The sequence below is a fragment of the Homo sapiens genome, chromosome 19 (genome assembly GCF_000001405.40).
Source record: "Homo sapiens chromosome 19, GRCh38.p14 Primary Assembly".
Taxonomy (NCBI): Eukaryota; Metazoa; Chordata; class Mammalia; order Primates; family Hominidae; genus Homo; species Homo sapiens.
This window is the reverse complement of record NC_000019.10, coordinates 27,720,311-27,741,910: the sequence shown is the minus strand read 5'-3', so window position 1 is coordinate 27,741,910 and position 21,600 is coordinate 27,720,311.

Here is a 21,600-nt window from a genome sequence, read left to right as displayed (position 1 = left end):
GTGACCCCAGGCATTCTAATGGGAGAGACTAATGGCCGCAGTGGCTGGCATGAAATTAACCAACCCTGGGTTTAGTATAGCTTAAACTTTCATTTATTGCTAGGCTGACCCCAGGCAGTCTAATGATAGAGACAAATAGGCAACCGCAGGCATTTCAGTGAAAGAGACTCCTGGATGACCACAGACAGTCTAATGATAGAGGCATCTGGGTGACCCTAGGCATTGTAATGAGAAAGACGCCTGGACGACCTCAGGCAGTATAATTAAAGACCCCTGGGTGCCACCAGGCATTCTAATAGGAGAGTCTTTCGGCTGACCGAAAGCATTCTATTGGGAGTGACTCCTGTTTGACTCCAAGCAGTCTATGCATACAGACCACCTAAGCGACCCCAGGCATTCTAATGAAATACATACCTGGCCGAACCCAGACAGTCTAATTATAGAGACACTTTGGCGACCCCAGGCATTCTAATGAAAGAGACTTTCATCTGACATCTGAAAGTCTAAGGATAGAGACTCCTGGGCGACCCCAGGCATTCTAATGGGAGAGAGCCCTGGTCGAACCCAGGAAGCTCAATTATACAGACTCCTGGGCGACCACAAGCATTCTAATAGGAGAGACTCTCAGCCCACCCCAGGCAGTCTAAAAATAGAGGTACTTGGGCCACCCAAGTCATTCTAATGGAGGAGACTCCCCAACGACCCCAGGCAATCTAATGTTAGAGACACTAATGAAAGATACTCCCAGACAACACCAGTCAGTGTGATGAAAGAGACACTTGGGTGACCCCAGGTGTTCTTATGGGAAAGACTCTCAGACCACCGCAGGCATTCTAGTGATAGGGATACCTGTGCAACCCCAGGCAGTCTAATGATAGAGACACCTGGGAAACCCCAGGCAGTCTAAATAAGAGACACCTAAGCGACCCCACGCTTTCTAATAAAAGAGACTCCCAGGCGACCCAAGGCATTTTAATCAGACTCCTGGCCAAACCCTGACAATCTAATGATGGGGACAAGTGGGCCACCCCAATCATTTTAATGATAGAGACACCTGAGTGACCCCAGACATTCTAATGTGAGAGACTCCTGGCAAGCTCCAGCGATTCTAATGGGAGAAACTCTTGTCTGGCTTCAGGCAGTCTAAGGATAGGGAAATTTGGGTGACTGTAGGCATTCTAATATGAGACTCCCAGCCGAACCCAGGCAGTCTAATAATAGAGACACTTGGGGGACCTCAGGAATTTTAATGGGAGAAACTTTTGGCTGACCACATGCAGTCTAATGATAGAAAACCCTGGGTGGCCCCAGGCATTCTAATGTGAGAGACTTTTGGCCAACCACAGGCAGTCTAATTGAAGTGAAAGGTGGGTGGCCCCAGGCATGCTAATGGGAGAGACTCCTGGCTGAACCCAGGGAGTCCATTGATAGGGACCTCTGGGTGACCACACACACTCTAATAATAACGACTCTTGGACGACCCCAGGCAGTCTAATTAAAATGACCACTGGGTGACCTGAGGCATTCTAGTAGGAGAGACTTAGCCGGCCCAAGGCATTCTAATGGAAGTGACTCGTGGCCTACACCAGGCAATCTATGCATAGAGACACCTAAGGGACCCCAGGCATTCTAATGGGATAGATTCCTGGCCAGCCCTAGGAAATCTAATAATAGAGACACCTGGGCGATTGCAGGCATTCTAATGCGGGAGACTCTTGGCAGACATGAGGCTTTCTAATGATAGGGACACATGGGCAACCCAGGCATTGCAATGATAGAGACACCTGTGAGAACCCAGGCACTCTAATGGGAGAAACTTTCCGTTGACACCAGGCATTCGATTGAGAGAGACTCCTGTCTGACACCAGGCAGTCTAATGAGAGAGAAACCTGGGAGAGACTCTTGGCTGACCCAAGCAGTCTATGGGTAGAGACACATGGGTGACCCCAAGCACTCTAATGGGGAAGATTTCTAGCTGACTCCAGGCAGTCTAATGATAGAAACACCTGGGCAACCCCAGGCATTCTAATAAGAGATACTCCTGTGTGACCCCAGGCAGTATTATGATAGAGACACCTGGTGACCGAAGGCATTCTAATAAGAGAGACTACCGATCGTCCCGAGGTATTGTAATTATAGAGACACCTGGGTGACCCCAGGCATTGTAATGATAGAGACATCTGTGTGACCCCAGGTATTCAAATGGGAGAGACTCTTGACTGACACCAGGCATTCTAATGAGAGAGACTCCAGGAAGATCCAGGCAGTCTAATGATAAATATACCTGGGCGAACCCAGCCATTCTAATTGGAGAGACTTCTGGCTACCTCAGTCATTCTAAGGTGAGAGACTATTATTCGACTTCAGGCAGTCTAGGGATAGACTCCTGGTCCAATCCAGGCATTCTAATGTGAGATACTCCTGGCAGTACCTAGGCAGTCTAATGATAGAGACACTTGGTCTACCCCAGGCATTTTAATGGGAGAGACTCCTTCCTGACCCCAGTCAGTCTAATTATACAGACTCCTGGGACACCCCAGGCATTCTAATGAAAGAGACTCCCAACCAACCCCAGGCAGTGTGATGATAAAGACACTTGGGCTACTCTAGGCATTCTAATGAGAGAGACTCCCAAAAGACTTTAGGCATTCTAATAATAGAGACACCTCTGTGACCCCAGGCAGTCTAATGATAGAGAGAACTGGGCAACCACAGTCATTCTTATGGGAGAGACCTCCAGCCAACCACAGGCATTCTAATGATAGAGGCACCTGGATGAAACTAGGTATTTTAATGGGAGAGACACCCAAGCCAACACCAGACAGAATAATGATAGAGACACCTGGGCGACCTCAGGCATTCTAATGGGAGACACTCCAGGCTGAACCCTGGCATGCTAATGATAGGGGCACGTGGGTGGCCCCAAGCATTTTAATAATAGAGACACTTGGGTGACCACGGGCATTCTAATGTGAGAGACTCCTGGCTAAACTCAGGCATTCTAATGGAGAGACACCTGGCTGACCACAGGCAGTCTAATGATAGAGACACCTCGGTGACCACAGGCATTCTAATAAAAGAGACTCCTGGCCAACCCCAGACAGTCTAATTAAAGTGCAACCTGGGCGACCTCAGGCATTGTAATGGAAGAGATTCCTAAGTGACCTCAGGCAGTCGAATTAAAAAGACAGGTGAATGACCCCAGGCATTCAAATAAAAGAGACTCCTAGCTGACACCAGACTTTCTAATGGGAGAGACTCGTGGCTGACCCATGCAGTCTGTTGATGAGACACCTGGGTGACCACAGGCATTCTAATGGGAGAGATTCCTGGTGGACCCCACACAGTCTAATTATAGAGAAACCTGGGTGACCCCAGGCATTCTAATGGGAGAGACTACTGGCCGACCCCAGGCAGTCTAATTTTAGAGAAACATGGGCAATCACAGGCATCCCAATGAAAGAGAAACCTGGATGGCCCCAAGCAATCTAATTATAGAGGTACCTGGGTGACCCCAGGCATTTTAATGGAAGAGACTCCAGGCCAACCCCAGGCAGTCTATTGATAGGGACAACTGGGCGACCAGAGGCATTGTAATGAGAAGGAGTCCTGGACGACCCCAGGCAGTCTAATTAAAAAGACCCCTGGGTGCCCCCAAGCATTCTAATAGGAGAGACTTTCAGGTGACAGAAGGCATTCTAATGGGAGTGAATCCTGGCCAACTCCAGGCAGTCTACGCATAGAGACACCTAAACGACCCCAGGCATTCTAATGGGAAAGATTCCTGGCCTAACCCAGATAGTCTAATTATAGAGACACCTGGGCAACCCCATTAATTCTAATGAGAGACTTTCGTCCGACCCCTGGCAATCTAGAAATAGAGACTCCTTAGTGATCCCAGGCATTCTAATGAGACAGACTCCTGGTCAAACTCAGGCAGTTCAATTATATAGACTCCTGGGTGACCCCACACATTCTAATGGGAGAGACTCTAAGCTGACCCTAGGCAGTCTAATGATAGAGACACTTGGGTGACCATGGGCATTCTATTGGTTGAGACTCCCTGACGATCCTAGGCATTCTAATCTTAGGGACACCTGTGCAAAACCAGGCAGTCTAATGTTAGAGAGACCTGGGTGACCCCAGCCATTCTTACAGGAGAGACCCCCAGCCAACCCCAGGAATTCTAATGATAGAGACACATTGGCGACCCCAGTCATTCTAATGGGAGAGACTCCCGGATGACACAAGGCAGTCTAATGATAGAAACACCTGGGCAAACCTAGGCATTCTAATGGGAGAGACTTCCCACAGAATCTTGGTGTTCTAATGATAGAGACAACTGGGCAACCTCAAGTATTTTAATGGTAGACACACCTGGGCAACCCCAGGCACTCTAATGTGAAAGACTTTTGGTCATTACCAGGCATTCTGATGGAGAGACTCCTGGGAGACCACAGGCTGTCTAATGATAGAGACACTGGACAACCACAGAAATTCAAATGGAGGAGACTTCTGGCCTACCCCAGGCTGTCTAATAATAGAGACACCTGAGCAACCCCAGACATTTTAATGGGAGACACTTTCATCTGACCCCAGGCAGTATTACAATAGAGACACCTGGAGACCACAGGCATTCTAATGGGATAGAATACTGGTCGTCTCAAGTCATTGTAATGAGAAAGAAACCTGGATGCCCCAGGCATTGTCATGATAGAGACATTTATGCTACTCTAAGCACTCAAATGGGAGAGAATCTTGGCTGACACCAGGCATTCTAATGAGGTAGATATTAGGATGATCCCAGGCAGTCTAATGATAGAGACACCTGGGCAAACTCAGGCCTTCTAATGGGAGAGACTCCTGGCTACCCAAGGCAGTCTAATGATAGAGACACCTGGGCGACCCCAAATATTCTAATGAAAGAGATTCCCAGTTGACACCAGATACTATGATGTTAGAGACACTTGGGTGACCCCAGGCATTCTAATGGGAAAGAATCTTGGACCACCCCAGGCATTCTAATGATAGAGATACCTGTGCAACTCCAGGCAGTCTAATGATAGAGACACCTGGGCAACCAAGGCAGTCAAGATAAGGGACAACTAAGTGACCCCAGGCAAACCTAGGCATTCTAATCAGAGAGACTCCTGGCTGAACCCCAGCATTCTAATGATGAAGACAAGTGGGCCACCCCAATCATTGTAATGATAGAGACATCTGGGCAATGCAAAGGATTCTAATGTGAGAGACTCCTGGTGAACCCCAGTGATTCTAATGGGAGAGACTCTTGTCAAACTTCAGGCAGTCTAAGGATAGAGAAACCTGGGTAACTCCAGGCATTCTAATAAGAGAGACTCCATAACGAACCCAGGCAGTTTAATGATAGAGACACTTAGGGGACCCCAGGCATTTTAATGGGAGACTTTTGGCTGACCACAGGCAGTCTAATGATAGAGACAGCTGGCGATCCCAGGCATTCTAATGTGAAAGAAGTTTGGCCGGCCATAGGCAGTCTAATGAAAGTGAAACTTGGGCTACCACAGGCATTCTAATGAGAGAGACTCCTAGCTGACCTAAGGCAATCTGATAAGAGACACCTGGGCAATCAAAGGTATTCTAATAATAGAGACTCCCATCCAACCCAAGGCATTTTAATGGGAGAGACTTCTGACGGACCCAAGCAGTCTATTGATAGAGACACCTGGGAGACCCCAGACATTTTAATGGGAGAGACTCCCAGCCAATACCAGGCAGTCTAATGAAACAAACACCTGGGTGACCGAAGGTGTTCTAATGGGAGAGACTCTCAGCCAACCCCAAAAATCTAATGATTGAGATACCTGTGCGACCCCAGGCATTCTAGTGGGAGAGACCCATGTCTAATTTCAGGCAGTCTATTGATAGAGACAAATGGGCGACCACATGCATTCTAATGGGAGACACTTCTGCTCAACTCCAGGCATTTTAATAGGAGAGGCTCCTGGCCAACCCAAAGCTTGCTAATAACAGAGACACCTGCTTGACCCCAGGCATTCTAATGTGAGAGACTTTTGGCAAACTGCAGGCAGTTTATTGATAGAGACACCTTGACGAGCACAGGCATTCTAATGGAAGAGACCCCTGGCTGACCCCAGGCAGTCTAATTAAAGAGACACCTGGGTGTCTTCAGGCGTTCTAAAAGGGGAGACTCCCAGCAGAACCCAGGCATTCTACTGGGAGAGACTTCTGGCTGAAAGAGGCAGTCTATGCATAGAGACACCTGGGAAACTCCAGGCATTCTAATGGGAGAGATTCCTGGCTGACCCCAGGTAATCTAATTATAGAGACACCTGAGAGACCTCAGGCATTCTAATGGTAGAGACTCCCTGCTGACTCCAGGAAGTCTGATGACGGAGACATTTGGGCGACTGCAGGCATTCTAATGACAGACACTCCCGGCCGACCCCAGGCAGTCTAATGATAGAGACAACTGGGTGAACACAGACATTCTAATGAGAGAAACTCCTGGTCAACTTGAGGCTTTTTAATGATAGAGACACCTGAGTGGCCCCAGGCATTGTAATGATATAGACACCTCCACGACACCAGGCACTCAAATAAGAGAGACTCCTGGCCAGCACCAGGCATTCTGATGAAAGAGACACCTGGCCAAACCCAGGCAGTCTAATGATAGAAACACCTGGGTGAACCCAGGCATTCTAATGGGAGAATTTCCCATTTAACCCGAAGCAGTCTAATGATGGAGACATCTAGGCAGCTTCAGGCATTCTGATAGGAGAGGGTCCTGGCCAAACCCAGTGATTCTTATGGGAGAGAATCTTGTCTGACCCCAGGCAGTCTAAAGATAGAGACTCCTTCATGACCACAGGCATTCTAATGGGAGAGACGTTCTGCCAAACCCAGGCAGTCTAATGATAGAGACACCTGGGTGACCCCAAGCATTCCAAAGGAAAAGGCTCCTGGCCAACCCCAGGCAGTCTAATTATACAGATTTTTGGGTGACTCCAGGCATTCTAATGAGAGAGACTCCTGGCCAACCCCAGGCAGTCTAATGATAAAGACAGTTGGGCTACCCCAAACTTTCTAATAGAAGAGACTCCTGCATGACCCCAGGCATTCTAGTGATAGAGACAGCTGAGCGAACCCAGGCATTCTAACTGGAGAGAATCCAGACCAACTCCAGGCAGTCTAATGATAGAGACACCTGGGCCACCCAAACATTCTGATGAAAGAGACTACTGGCCGACTTCAGATAGTCTAATGATAGAGCCACCCGGGTGATCATAGGCATTCTAATGGGAGAGACTCCTGGCCAACCCCAAGCATTTTAATGATAAAGACATTTGGGCAACCACAGGCATTCTAATGGGAGAGAATTTTGGCTGAACTCAGGAATTCTAATGATAAAGACATCTTGGCAACCCTAGGCAGCCTAATGATAAAGACACCTCAGCGACCCCAGGTATTTTTATTAGAGAGGCCCCCCAATCCTGGCATTCTAATGATAAAGACACCTGAACGACCCAAGGCATTTTAATGGGAGAGATTCCTGGCTGACCCCTGGCAATCAAATGATAGAGACTCCTGAGTGACCTCAGGCAGTCTAATGATAGAGATATCTGGCTGTCCACAGGTATTTTTATGGGAGAGACCCCAGTCAGCCCCAGGCATTTTAGTGATAGTGAAACTTGAACAACCCCAGGCATTCTAATGGGAGAGGCTCCCGGCTGACCCCAGGCATTCTAATGATAGAGTCACCTAAGTGACCTCAGGCATTCTAACTTTAGATATTCCCAGCAAACCTCATGCATTCTGATGGGAGAGATTCCTGGCTGGCCCCAGGCCATCTAATGATACAGACGCTTGGGCAATTCCAAGCATTCTAATTAAAGAGACTCCTGGCTGACAACAAGCAGTCTAATTAAAGAGATACCAGGGTGGCCCCAGGCATTCTAATAGCGGAGAACCCCAGCTGACACCAGAGATTCTAATCAGAAAGACTTCCAGCTGAAATCAGGCAGCCTATATAGACACCTTGGTGACCCAAGGTATTCTAATGGGAGAGACTCCTGGCCAACCACAGGCAGTCTAATGATAGAAACACCTGGAAGAGCACAGGAATTTTAATGGGAGAGAGTTTTGGCTGACCCCAGGCAGTCTTACGATTGAAATACCTGGGAGACTCCAGGCATTCTAATTTTAGAGACTCCTGGCAAACCCCAGGCATTCTAAAAAGAGACTCCTAGTAACCACAAACAGTCTAGTGATAGAGACACCTGGGAAACCATAGGAATTCTAATGGGAGAGATTCTTGGCCCAACCCCAGCATTCTAATGATGAAGAAAAGTGGGTGAGGCAAAGCATTTTAATAATAGAGACACCTAGGTGACCCCAGGCCTTCTAATTCAAGAAACTATTGGCCAACACCAAGCATTCTAATAGAGAGACTGCTGGTGAACACAGGTGTCCTATGAATAGAGACACCTGGATGATCCCAAGCATTCTGATGAAAGAGACTCTTGGCCGACAACAGGCAATCTAATTATACAGACTCCTGAGCAACAGCAGGCATTCTAATGGGAGAGACTCCTGACTGACCCCAGACAGTCTAATGATAGAAACATCTGGGTGACATTTCTGAGTCTTTTGAAACCTATAGTAAAAAACTGAATATCCCACTATAAAAACAAGAAACAAGCTCTCTGATTAAATGCTTTGTAAATTGTGGGTTCACCTCACAGAGTTAGAACTCTATTTTCATTCAAAGGGTTAGAAACACTTTTTTTGTAGAATCTATGAAGGGGCATTTCTGAGTCCATTGAGGCCTCTAGTGAAAAACTGAATATCCCATGATAAAAACAACAAACAAGCTATCTGTGAAAGTGGTTTGCAATGTGAACATTCATCTCACAGAGCTAAATCAATCTTTTGATTCAACAGGCTGGAAACACTCTTTTTGTAGAACATACAAATGGACATTTCTAAGCACATTGAGGCCTATAATGAAAAATCAAATATCCCACAATGAAAACTAGAAGGAAGCTATCTGTGATAATGCTTTGTGGTGTATGGATTCATCTCACTGACTGAAACCTGAGTTTTGATTCACCAGGTAAGAAACACTTTTTTTTTTAATAGAATCTACAAAGGGACATTTCTGAGCAAATTGAGGCTAAGAGTAAAAAATCAAATATCACACGATAAAAACTAGTAACAAGCTATCTGTGAAAATGCTTTTCAATGTTTGAATTCATTTCACAGAGTTAAACCTTTGTTTTGATTGAACAGGTTGGAGACACTCTTTTTATAGGATCTACCAAGAGACATTTCTGACCTCATTGAGGCCAATAGTAAAAAATCAAATGTCTCATGATAAAAAGTAAAAAGATGCTATCTGTGAAAATGCTTTCTGGAGTGGAGATTTATCTCAGTGAATTGAATCTGTGTTTTGATTCACCAGGTTGGAAACCTTCTTTTTGTAAAACCTACAGTGGGACATTTCTGAGCTCATTGAGGCTTGTAGTGAAAAACTGAGTTTCCTGCAATAAAAACCGAAAACAGGTTATCTGTGAAAGTGATTTGTGATGTGCAAATTCATCTCATGAAAATAAACCTCTGCTTTGATTGAATAAATGGGAAGAACTTTTTTGTAGAAATTTCTGAGCTCCTTTAGGTCTATAGCAAAAAAATCTAATATCCTGCAAACAAAACTAGAAACAAGCTACATGTGAAGGTGCTTTCTGATGTGTGAATTCATCTCACCAAATGAAACTCGTGTTTTGATTTAGTAGGTTGAAAACAATCTTTTTGAAGAATATACGAAGGGACATTACTGAGCTTATTGAGGCTTATATTGAAAAACTGAATATCCCACAAAATAAACTAGAAACAAGTGATCTGTGAAAATAGTTGGCCATGTGTAAATTTATCTCACACAGTTAAACCCTTTTTTTGACTCAACAAATTAGAACTCTTTTTGTAGAATCTATGAAGGGACATTTCTGAGCTCATTGAGGCCTATCGTGAAAAACTGAATATCCCATGATGAAAACTAGAAAGAAGCTATCTGTGAAAATATTTAGCAATGTGTTCTTTCATCTCACAGAGTTAAATCTTTTTTTTTTTTTATTCACCATATTGGAAATACTCTTTTTGTAGAATCTACAAAGAAACATTTCTGAGCCCATTGAAGCCTATAGTAAAAAAACAAATATTCTGCAGTTGAAACTAGAAACAATCTCTTTGAAAATGCCTTGTGATGTGTGGATGCATCTCATTAAAAGGAGCCTGTGTTTTGGTTCACCAGATTGGAAACACTTTTTTGTAGAATATACGATGGGATGTATCTGAGCCCATTGAGGCCTATAGTAAAAAATGGAATATCTTGCAATAAAAAACTAGAAACGAGCTATCTTTGAATATGCTTTCTGATGTGTGGATTCATCTCACAGAGTTAAACCTTATTTTTGACTCACCAAGATGGAAATACTTTTTTTTGTAGAATCTATGATAAGACATTTCTGAGTCTATTGATGTGTATAGTGCCAAACAGAATATCCCACAATAAAAACTAGAAACAAGCTATCTGGGAAAATGCCTTGTGATGTTTTCATTCATCTTAGAGAGTTAAACCATTGTTGTAATTAAACAGGTTGGAAACACTCTCTTTGTAGAAACTACGAATTGACATTTCTGAGCCCTTTGAGGCCTACAGTGAAAAACAGAATATCCAGTGATTAAAACTAAAAACTTTCTGTCTGTGAAAATGCTTTGTGATGTGTGGAAGCATCTCATAGAGTTAAACCTTTGTTTTGGTTCAACAGGTTGGAAACACTTTTTTAGTAGAATCTATGAGAAAATCTTTGTGAACCCAATGAGGACTCTGTGTGTGTGTTTGTGTGTGGGGGGGGTGGGGGGGCAGGAAACAACGAGGATTTCATGATGGAAACTGGAAAGAACCATCTGTGAAAATGGTTTGTGATGTGTGGATTCACCTCACAGAATTAAACCTTTGGTTTGATAGAACAGATTGAAAACACTGTTTTTGTACAATCTAAAAAGAGACATTTCTGAGCCCATTGAAGCCTGACGTGAAAAACCAAGGGTCTCACAATAAAAACGAATTACAAGCTATCTGTGAAAATGCTTAGCAATGTCCGGATTCATCTCACTGAATAGACCCTGTGTTTTGATTCACCAGGTTGGAAACTCTTTCTGCAGAATCTGCAAAGAAATATTTCTGAGCCCATTGAGGCCTACAGTGGAAAACTGAATATTCTGTGATAAAACTAGAAACACCCTATCTGTGAAAATGCTTTGTGATGTGTGGATTTTTCTCATCGAATGGAACCTCTGTTTTGACTCACAAGGGTGAAACACTATTTTAGTAGAATCTAGGAAGAAACATATCTGAGCCCATTTATGCCTACAGTGAGAAACTGAATACCCTGCAATAAAAAGTAGACAGAAGCTATTTGTAAAAATGCTTTGTGATGTGTGGATTCAGTGTTAAACTTTTATTTTGATTCCACAGTTTTGACACCCTATTTGTAGAATATATGAATGAACATTTCTCAGCCCATTGAGGCCTATCATGTGAAACCAAATATTTTATAATAAAAACTGGAAACAAGTGATCTGTTAAAATGTTTTTTAGTGTGTGAATTTGTTTCACAAAGATAAATCTTTGCATGGATTCAACAGGTTGGAAACATTATTGTAGAACCTATGAAGGGATGTTTTTAGCCTATTAAGGACTATATATATAAAAAAAACTAGAAACAAGCTGTCTGTGAAAATGCTTTGTGATGTGTGGATTCATCTCACAGAGTTCCACCTTTGTTTTTATTCAACAGGTTAAAAACGCTCTTTTTGTAGAACCTACAAAAAGACATTTCTGAGCCCATTGAGGCCTACAGTGAAAAACCAAGAATCCCATAATACAATCTAGAAAACAAGCTATCTAGGAAACTGTTTTGGATGTGTGGATTCATTTAACAGAATGGAAATAGTGTTTTGATTCACCATGTTTGAAACACTCTTTTTGTGGAATGCACGAAGAACATTCTTTGTGGAAGAACATTGATGCCTATAGTGATTAACCAAATATCACGTGATGCAAACTAGAAACAAGCTATCTGTGAAAATGCCTTGCAGCGTATGGATTCATGTCACAGAGTTACACCTATGTTTTGATTCAACAGGTTGGAAACAATCTTTTTGTAGAATCTACAAAGGAATATTTCTGAGCCAATTGAGTTCTAGAGTGAAAAACAGAATATCCTGTGATAAAAACTATAAATAAGCTCTCTGTGAAATTGCTTTGAGACTGTGGATGCATCTTTCAGAGTTATGCCCTTGCTTATATTCAACAGGTTGGAAACACTTTTCTTGTAGAATCTATGAAGGGATATTTCTGAACCTATTGAGGCCTATGGTGAAAAATTGAATATTCTGCGATATAAACCAGAAACAAGCTCTCTGTGAAAATGCTTTTCCATGTGTGCATCCATCTTACAGAGTTAAACGTTTGTTTAGATTCAACAGGTTGGAAATACTCTTTTTGTAGAATCTATGAAGGGATATTTCTGAACTTTTTGAGGCCTATTGGCAAAATCCGAATATTACGTGATAAAAACTAGAAACAAGGTATCAGTGAAAATGCTTTGTGATGTGTGGGTTTATCTCACCAAATAAAACCTGTGTCTTGATTCACCAGGTTGGACACACTTTTTTTTCTATAACCTACATAGGGCGATTTCTGAGCCTATTGAGGTCTATAGCAAAGCAACAACAACAAATATCCTGTCTTATAATCTAGAAAGAAGTTATCTCTGAAAATACTTTATGATGTGTGAATTCATCTCACAAAGTTAAACCTTTGTTTTGATTCAACTGATTGGAAACACTCTTTTTGTAAAATCTATGAAGGGAAATTTCTGAGCCCATTTAGGCCTATAGTGAGAAACAGAATATCCCACTGTAATAAGTAGAAACAAGCTATCTGTGAAAATCATTTATGGTGGCTGGATTCATCTCACCAAATGAAACCTGTGCTTTGATTCACCAGTTTGGAAACACTATTTTTATAGAATCTATGCAGGAATATTTCTGATCCCATTGAGGCATATGCTGAAAATTCGAATATCCCATGATAAAAACTACAAACAAGCTATCTATGAAAATGTTTTGTCATGTGTGGATTCATCTCACAGAGTTAAACCTTTGTTTTGATTCATCTGTTTGAAAACACGCTTTTTTGTAGAATCTAAGAATCAACATTTCTGAGTGCATTGAAGCCTATAGTGAAAAACAAAATATCTGATGATAAAAACTAGAAACAAGCTATCTGTGAAAATGCTTTGTGATATGTGGATTCATCTCAAAGAATTAAACTTTATTTTGATTCAACAGGCTGGAAACACTGTTTTCGTAGAACCTACAAAAAGACATTGGGGAGCCCACTGAGTCTTACAGTGATAAACCAAGGATCCTGTGATAAAACTAGAAACAAGCTATCTGTGAAAATGCTTTGCAGTTGGTGAATTTCTTTCATAGTTAAACCTTTTTTTATTCAATACGTTGGAAACACCATTTTTTAGTGTCTCTAAAGGGACTTTTTCAGCCCTTTGAAACCTATAGTGAAAAACCAAATATCTTGCAATAAAAACAAATAAACAAAAAAGAACTACTTATGAAAATGCCTTGTGATGTGTGGATTCATCTCACAGAGTTAAACCATTGTTGTGATTCAACAGGTTGGAAACATGCTTTTTGTAGAATCTACGAGTTGACATTTCTGAGCCCTCTCTGGGTTATGGTGAAAACGAAATATCCCATGATAAAAACTAGAAACAACCTATCTGTGAAAATGCTTTGCAATGTGTGGATTCATTTCACAGAATTAAACCATTGTTTTGATTTAACAGGTTGGAAACACTCTTTTTGTAGAATGTATGAAGAGATATTTCTGAGGCCTGTTGTGAAAAACTGAGGTTTCCACAAGAAAAACTGGAAACAAGTTATCTGAGAAAATGCTTTATGATGGGTGAATTCATCTCACAAAATTAAACCTTCGTTTTGATTCAAAAGGTTGGAATAACTTTTCTTTTCTTCTTCTTCTTCTTTTTTTTTTTTTTTTTTTGGACAGGGTCTTGCTCTGTCACCCAGGCTGAAATGCAATGGCACAATCTCGGCTCACTGGTTCAAGCAATTCTCCTGCGTCAGCCTCACAAGTAGCTGAGAATACAGGTGCCAGCCACCACAACTGGCAGTTTTTTTGTATTTTTATAAAAGATGGGGTTTCAGCATGTTAACCAGGATGGTCTCGATTTGCTGACCTCCTGATCTGCCTGCCTTGGCCTCCCAAAGTGTTGGTATTACAGGTGGAATCACTTTTTTTGTAGAATCTGTGCAGGCACATTTCTGAGGCCTACAGTGAAAAATTGTAGGCCTCATTGAGGCCTACAGTGAAAAATTGAATATCCCTCAATAAAAATTACAAACAAGCTATCTGTGGAAATGCTTTGTGATGTCTGGATTCATCTCACAGAGTGAAACCTTTCTTTTGATTCATTAGGTTGAAAGCACACTTTTTGTAAAAATTACAAAGGAACATTTCTGGGCCTATTTAGGCCTGTGGTGAAAAATCAGAAAACTAGTGATAAAATCTAGAAACAGGCTTGTGTGAAAATGCTTTGGGTTGTGTGCATTTATCTCACAGAGTTAAACATTTATTTTGATTTAACAAGTTGGAAACACTCTTTTTGTAGAATCTATGAGGGGACATAATTGAGCTTATTGAGGCCTATAGTAAAAATTTGAGGATTCTGCTATAAAAACTAGAAACAAGCTATCTGTAAAAATGCTTTGCTGTGTGTGTATTCCTATCACAAAGTTACAGCTTTGTTTTGATTCAACAGGTTGCAAACACTCTTTTTGCAGAATCTATGAAGGAACATTTCTGAACCAATTTTGGCCTATAGTGGAAAACTGAACATTCTGTGATATAAACTAGAGAAAAGATATCTGTGAAAATGCTTTGCAATGTGTGGATTCATCTCACTGGATGGAACCTATGCTTTGATTTAGTAGGTTGGAAATACTCATTTTGTAGAATCTACAAAGGATATTTCTGAGCCCCTTTGAGCCTGTAGTGAAAAATCAAGGATCCCATGAAGAAAAACAGAAAAACACTATCTGTCAAAATGCTTATTGGTGTGTGGATTCTTCTTACCAAATGGAACCTGTGTTTTGATTCACCAGGTTGGAAACACTTTTTTGTAGAGTCTATGAAGGGACATTTCTCAGCCCATTGAGGCCTATAGTGATGAACAAAATATCCCATAATAGAAGCTAGAAAAAAGCTATTTCCAAAAATGCTTTGCAATGTGTGGATTTATCTTACAGAATTAAACCTTTATTTTGATTTGACAGTCTGCAAACACTTTTTTTTGTAGAAAGTACAGAGGGACATTTCTGAGACCATCAAGAACTATAGTAAAAAAATCAAACAACCTGCCTTAATATTTAGAAACAAGCTATCTGTTAAAATGCTTTAGAATATTTTCATTCATGTCACAGATTTCAACCTTTTTTTTGATTCAACAAGATAAAAACACTCTTTTAGTTGAATCTACAAAAAGATATTTCAAAGTCCGTTGAGGCCTATAGTGAAAAACTGAATATCCCATGATAAAAACTAGAAGTGAGCCCTGTGTGAAAATGCTTTGTGATGTGTGGATTCATCTCACAGAGTTAAACTTATATTTTTATTCAACACCTTGGAAACACTCTTTTTGTAGCATCTATGAAGGGACATTCTGAGGCCATTGAGGCCTATAGTGAAAAGCAGAATATCCTTCCTTAAAATCTAGAAACAATCTATCTGTGAAGATGATTTATGATGTGAGCATTTATCTCACAGATTTAAAACTATGTTTTAATTCAACAGGTAGGAAAAAGTCTTTTTGTAGAATCTATGAAAGGACACTTCTGAGCCCACGGAGACCTATAGTGAAAAACTGAATATCCAGCATTAAAAACTAGAAACAAGCTATATGTAAAAATGTTTTGTGATGTGTGGATTCATCTCTCCCAATGGAACCTGTGTTTTGATTCTCCAGGTTGGAAACACTTTTTGTGAAATCTATGAAGCGACATTTCTGAGCCCATTGAGGCATATTGTAAAATTTGAATATTCCACGATAAGAACTAGAAACAAGCTATCTCTGAAAATCCTTTTCAATGTGTGGCTTCTCCTCACAGAGTTAAATCTTTGTTTCAATTCAACACCTTGAAAACACTTTTTTGGTAGAATCTACGAAGGGACATTTCTGACCCATTGAGGCCTACAGTAAAAAATGTAGGGACATTTCTGAGCCCATTGAAGCCTATAGTTAAAAAACTAATTTCTGGTGATAAAATCTAGAAACAAGCCATCTGTGAAAATGCTTTGTGATGTATGGATTTATCTCAAAAAGTTAAAACTATGTTTTTAACCAACAGGTTGAAATCACTCTTTTTGTAGAATCTATGAAAAGACGTTTCTGAGCCCACTGAGGCCTGTAGAGAAAAACTGTATATCCTGCAATAAAAGCTAGAAGAAAAGCTCTCCGTGTAAATGGTTCCCGATGTGTGGGTTAATCTCACAGAGTTAAACATTTGTTTTTATTTAACAGGTTAGAAACGTTCTTTTTGTAGAATCTACGAAGGAATATTTCTGAGCCCATTGAGGCCTATAGCAAGAAGCCATATATCCGTCAATAAAAACTGGAAACAAGCTATCTGTGAACATTTTTTGTGATGTATGCATTTATCTCACCAAATGGAACCTGTGTTTTGATTCACCAGTTTGGAAACACTCTTTTGTGGAATGCATGAAGGGACATTTCTTAGCCAATTGAGGTGTATAGTGATATACCAAATATCCCGGGATAGAAACTAGAAACAAGTTATCTGCAAAAATGCTCTGTGATGTGTGGATTTATCTCACAGAGATGAAGCTTTGTTTTGATTCAACATGTTGGAAACACTTTTTTTGTAGAATCTACAAAGGGACATTTCTGAGACCATTAAAAACTACAGTAAAAAAAGGTATAATGCACCTTAAAATCTAGAAACAAAGCTATCTGTGAAAATGCTTTGCAATATGTGGATTCATGTCACAGATTTAAACCTTTGTTTTGATTGAACAAATTGGAAACACTGTTTTAGTAGATTATATAAAGGGACATTTCAAAGCCCATTGAAGCCTATAGTGAAAAATCAAAAATCCCGTGAGCAAAAATAGAAACAACCTCTGTGGGAAAATGCTGTGTGATACGTTCATTCATCTCACAGGGATAACCTTTGTTTTTATTCAACACCTTGGAAACATTCTTTTTGTAGAGTCTATGAAAAAAATTTCTGAGCCAATTGAAGTCTGTAGTGAAAAAGCTAATATCCCATTTTAAAATATAAAACAAACTATGAAAATGAGTTTTGATGTGTGGATTCATCGAGAGTTAGACCTTTGTTCTAAATCAACAGGTTAAGAACACTCTTTTTGTAGAATCTATGAAAAAACATTTCTGAGCCCGTTGAGGCCTATTGCGAAGTGAATCTCTTGCAATAAAAAGCAGAAACCAGCTCTCTGTGAAATAATTTTGTGATGTACAAATTTATCTTGCAGAGTTAAAACTTTGTTTTAATTCAACAAGTTGAAACCTTCTTTTTGTAGAATCTGCAAAGAGACATTTCTGAGCCCATTGAGGCCAATAGCAAAAAAATGAATATCCCACAATAAAAACTAGAAACAAAACAGCTGTGTAAATGCTTTGCAATATGTGGATTCGTCTCACTGAGTTAAACCTATGTTTTGATTCAACAAGTTAAAAAACTTGTTTTTGTAGTATCTTCGAAGGGACAATTCTGAGCCTATGGAGATTATAGCAAAAAACTGAATATCCTGCAATAAAAACTAGAAACAAGATATCCGTGGAAATGCTTTGAGATGTGTAGATTTATTTCACAGAATTAAACCTTTGTTTTGATTTAACAGGTTGGAACCACTCTATTTTAAGAATCTATGAAGAAATATCTTTGTCCCTATTGTACACTATAGTGGACAACTGAATACTTCATGACAAAAACTAGAAACAAGCTAGCTGTGAAAATGCTTTGCAATGGGTGAATTCATCTCACTCAGTTAAACCTTCGTTTTGATTCAACAAGGGTGAAACACTCTTTTGGTAGAATCTACAAAGAAACATTTATGAGCCCCTTGAGGACTATAGTGAAAAAATGAATCTCCTGCATTAATATCTAGAAACAATCTATTTGTGAAAATGCTGTGTGATGCATGGATCCATCTCACAGATTTCAAACTTTATTTTGATTCAACAGGCTGGAAACACTCTTGTTATAGAAGCTACGAAGGGTCATTTCTGAACCCATTGAGGCCAATAGTGAAAAACTAAATATCCTGCAATAAACCTAGAAAAAATCTATCTGCGAAAATACTTTGTGTAGTGTGGATGAGTGTCTCAGGGTTAAACATTTGTTTTTATTCACCAGGTTCGAAACACTCTTTTTGTTGAACAGACAAAGGGACATTTCTTAGCCCAGTTAGGCCTATAAAGGTAAACCGAATATCCCGTGATACATAGTAGAAACAAGCTATCTGCAAAAATGCTTTGTGAATTGTAGATTCATCTCACAGAATTAAGCCTTTGTTTTAATTCAACAGGTTAAAAACACTATTTTTGTAGACTCTACGAAGAAACATTTCTGAAACCATTGAAACCTATGGGGGAAAAAAACCCCCGAAATTCCTGTGATAAGAAATGGAAAGCAGCTATCTGTGAAAATGCTTTGTAATGTGTGGATTCTTCTCACAGAGTTAAACCTTTGTTCTGATTCAACATTGTTCAGAACACTCTTTTTGTAGAATCTACAGAGATACTTTTTAGCATTTTGAGGCCTCTAGTGAAAAACCGAATGTCCTGCAATAGAAACTGGAAACAACCTTCTGTGAAAATGCTTTGTGATTCGTCTATTCATCTCAAAGAATGAAACTTGTGCTTTGATTCAACAGGTTGGAAAACCCTTTTTGTAGAATCTACGTAGGAACATTTCTGAGCCCATTGAGGCCTCTAGTGAAAAAACTGAATATCCCAGAATTAAAACTATAAACAAGCTATCTGTGAAGAAGCTTTGTAATATGTGCATTCATCTAACAGATATAAGCGTGTATTTTGATTTGCCTGGTTGGGAACACTCTTTTTGTACAGTCTATAAAGAAACATTTCTGAGTGCATTGAGTCATATGTTGAAAAATCGAATATCTCGTGATAAAAACTAGGCAGGAGGTATCTGTGAAAATGCTTTGAGATGTGTGGGTATTGGCCTCACAGAGTTAAACTTTTGTTTTGATTCAACAGTTTGGAAACATACTTTGTAGAATCTACAATGACATATTTCTGAGCCCATTGAGGCCTGTAGTGAAAAACCGAATATCCCATGATAAAAACTCAAAACAAGCGATATGTGAAAATGCTTTGTGACGTGTGGTTCATCTCATAGAGTTAAACCTGGTTTTGATCCACTACATTGGAAACACTCTTATTGTAGAATCTACAAAAAAAAATTTCTGAGACCATTGAGGTCTCTAGTGAAAAACTGAATATCCCATGATAAAAACTAGATACAAGCTATCTGTGAAAATGCTTTGCAATGTGTGGATTTGTCTCACAAAGTTAAACCTGTGTTTGATTCAACGGGTTGGAAACACTTTTTTTGTAGAATCTATGAAGAAACATTTCTGAGACCATTGAAGCCTATAGTAAAAAATTGAATATCCTGTGATATAAATGAGAAACAAGTTATCTACGAAAATGTATATTAATCTCACTGAATGCAACCTGTGTTTTACTTCACCAGGTTAAAGATGCTCTGTTGGTAAAATCTGTGAAGGGACATTTCTGAGCACATTGAGGCCTATAGTGAAAAAACGAATATCCTGCTATAAAAACTAGAAACAAGCTATGTGTGAAAATGCTTTGCAATGTGTGGATTCACCTCACAGATTTAAACCTTTGTTTTGTTTCAACAGGTTGGAAACACTCTTTTTGTAGTTGAACGAAGGGACATTTTTGAGTCCCTTGAGGCCTATAGTAATGAACAGAATATCCTGCAATAAAAATTAGAAAGAAGTTATCTGGGAAAATGCTTTGTGTTGTGTGGACTTATCTCACAGTGTCAAACTATTGTTTCCATGCAACACTATAAATGCACACTTTTTGTAGAATCTATGAGGGGACATTTCTGAGCCCATTGAGGCCTATAAAGAAAAACCAAACTTCCCATGTTAAAAGCTAGAAACAAGCTATTTGCGAAAATGCTTTATGGTATGTGGATTCATCTCATTGAATGAAACCTGTGTTTTGATTCACCACGTTTGAAACACTCTTTTGATAGAATCCACGAAGGGACATTTCACTGTATGAGGCATATAGTGAAAAACCAAATATCTCATGATGAAAACTAGAAAGAAGCTATTTGTGAAAATGCTTTCTGATGTTTAGATTCATGTCAAAGAGTTACACCATTTTTTTGATTCAACAGGTTTGAAACACTTTTTTTTAGAATCTATGAGGGACATTTCTGAACAAATTGAGGAGTGTAGTGAAAAACCGAATATCCCACTGTAAAAACTACAAACATTCTGTCTGTGAACATACTCCCAACTGACCCTGGGTATTCTAATATGAGAGACTCCTGGCTGACCCCAGGCAGTCTAAGGATAGAGACTCCTGGCAGACTGCAGGCATTCTAATGACAGAGACACCTGTGCAACTCCAGGCATCTTAATGAAAGAGACTTTATGCCGACCTTAGGCATTCTTGTGATAGGGGCAACTGTGCGTCTTAAGACATTTTTATGAGAGAGACTCCAGGCTGACCCCAGGCATTCTAAGGAGAGAGACTTCTTGCAGAATTCAGATACTGTAACGATAGAGACACTGGGGCAACCTCCAACATTCTAATGAGAGGGACTTCTGGTCTACCACGGGCACTTCAATGATAAAGACAGTTTTTCGACCCCTAGCATTTTAATAGGAGAGACTGCCAGCCAAAACCAGGCATTCAAACTGGAGAGACACCCAGCCAACCACAGGCAGTCTAATGTTAGAGACGCCTGGATGATCACAGGCATTATAATGGGAGAAACTGAATGCCAAACGCAGGCAGTCTAATGTTGGAGATACCCAGCCAACCCCAGGCATTTTAATACAAAAGACTCCTGGTCGACCCCAGGCATTCCAATGATAGAGACACTGTGGCGACCCAAGGTAATCTACTGGGAGAGACTCCCTGCCAACCCCAGTGATTCTAATGGGAGAGACTGCTGGCTGACACCAGGCAGTCTGATAGAAACCCCTGGGCAACCCCAGGCATTCTAATGAAAGTGATTCCTGGCTGAACTTAGGCAGGCTAATAACAGAGACATCTGGGTGACCCCAGGCATTCTAATGGTACAGGCTCCCGGGAAATTCCAGGCATTCTAATGGGAGAGACTCTTGGCCGACTACAGGCAGTTTAAGGATAGAAACACCTG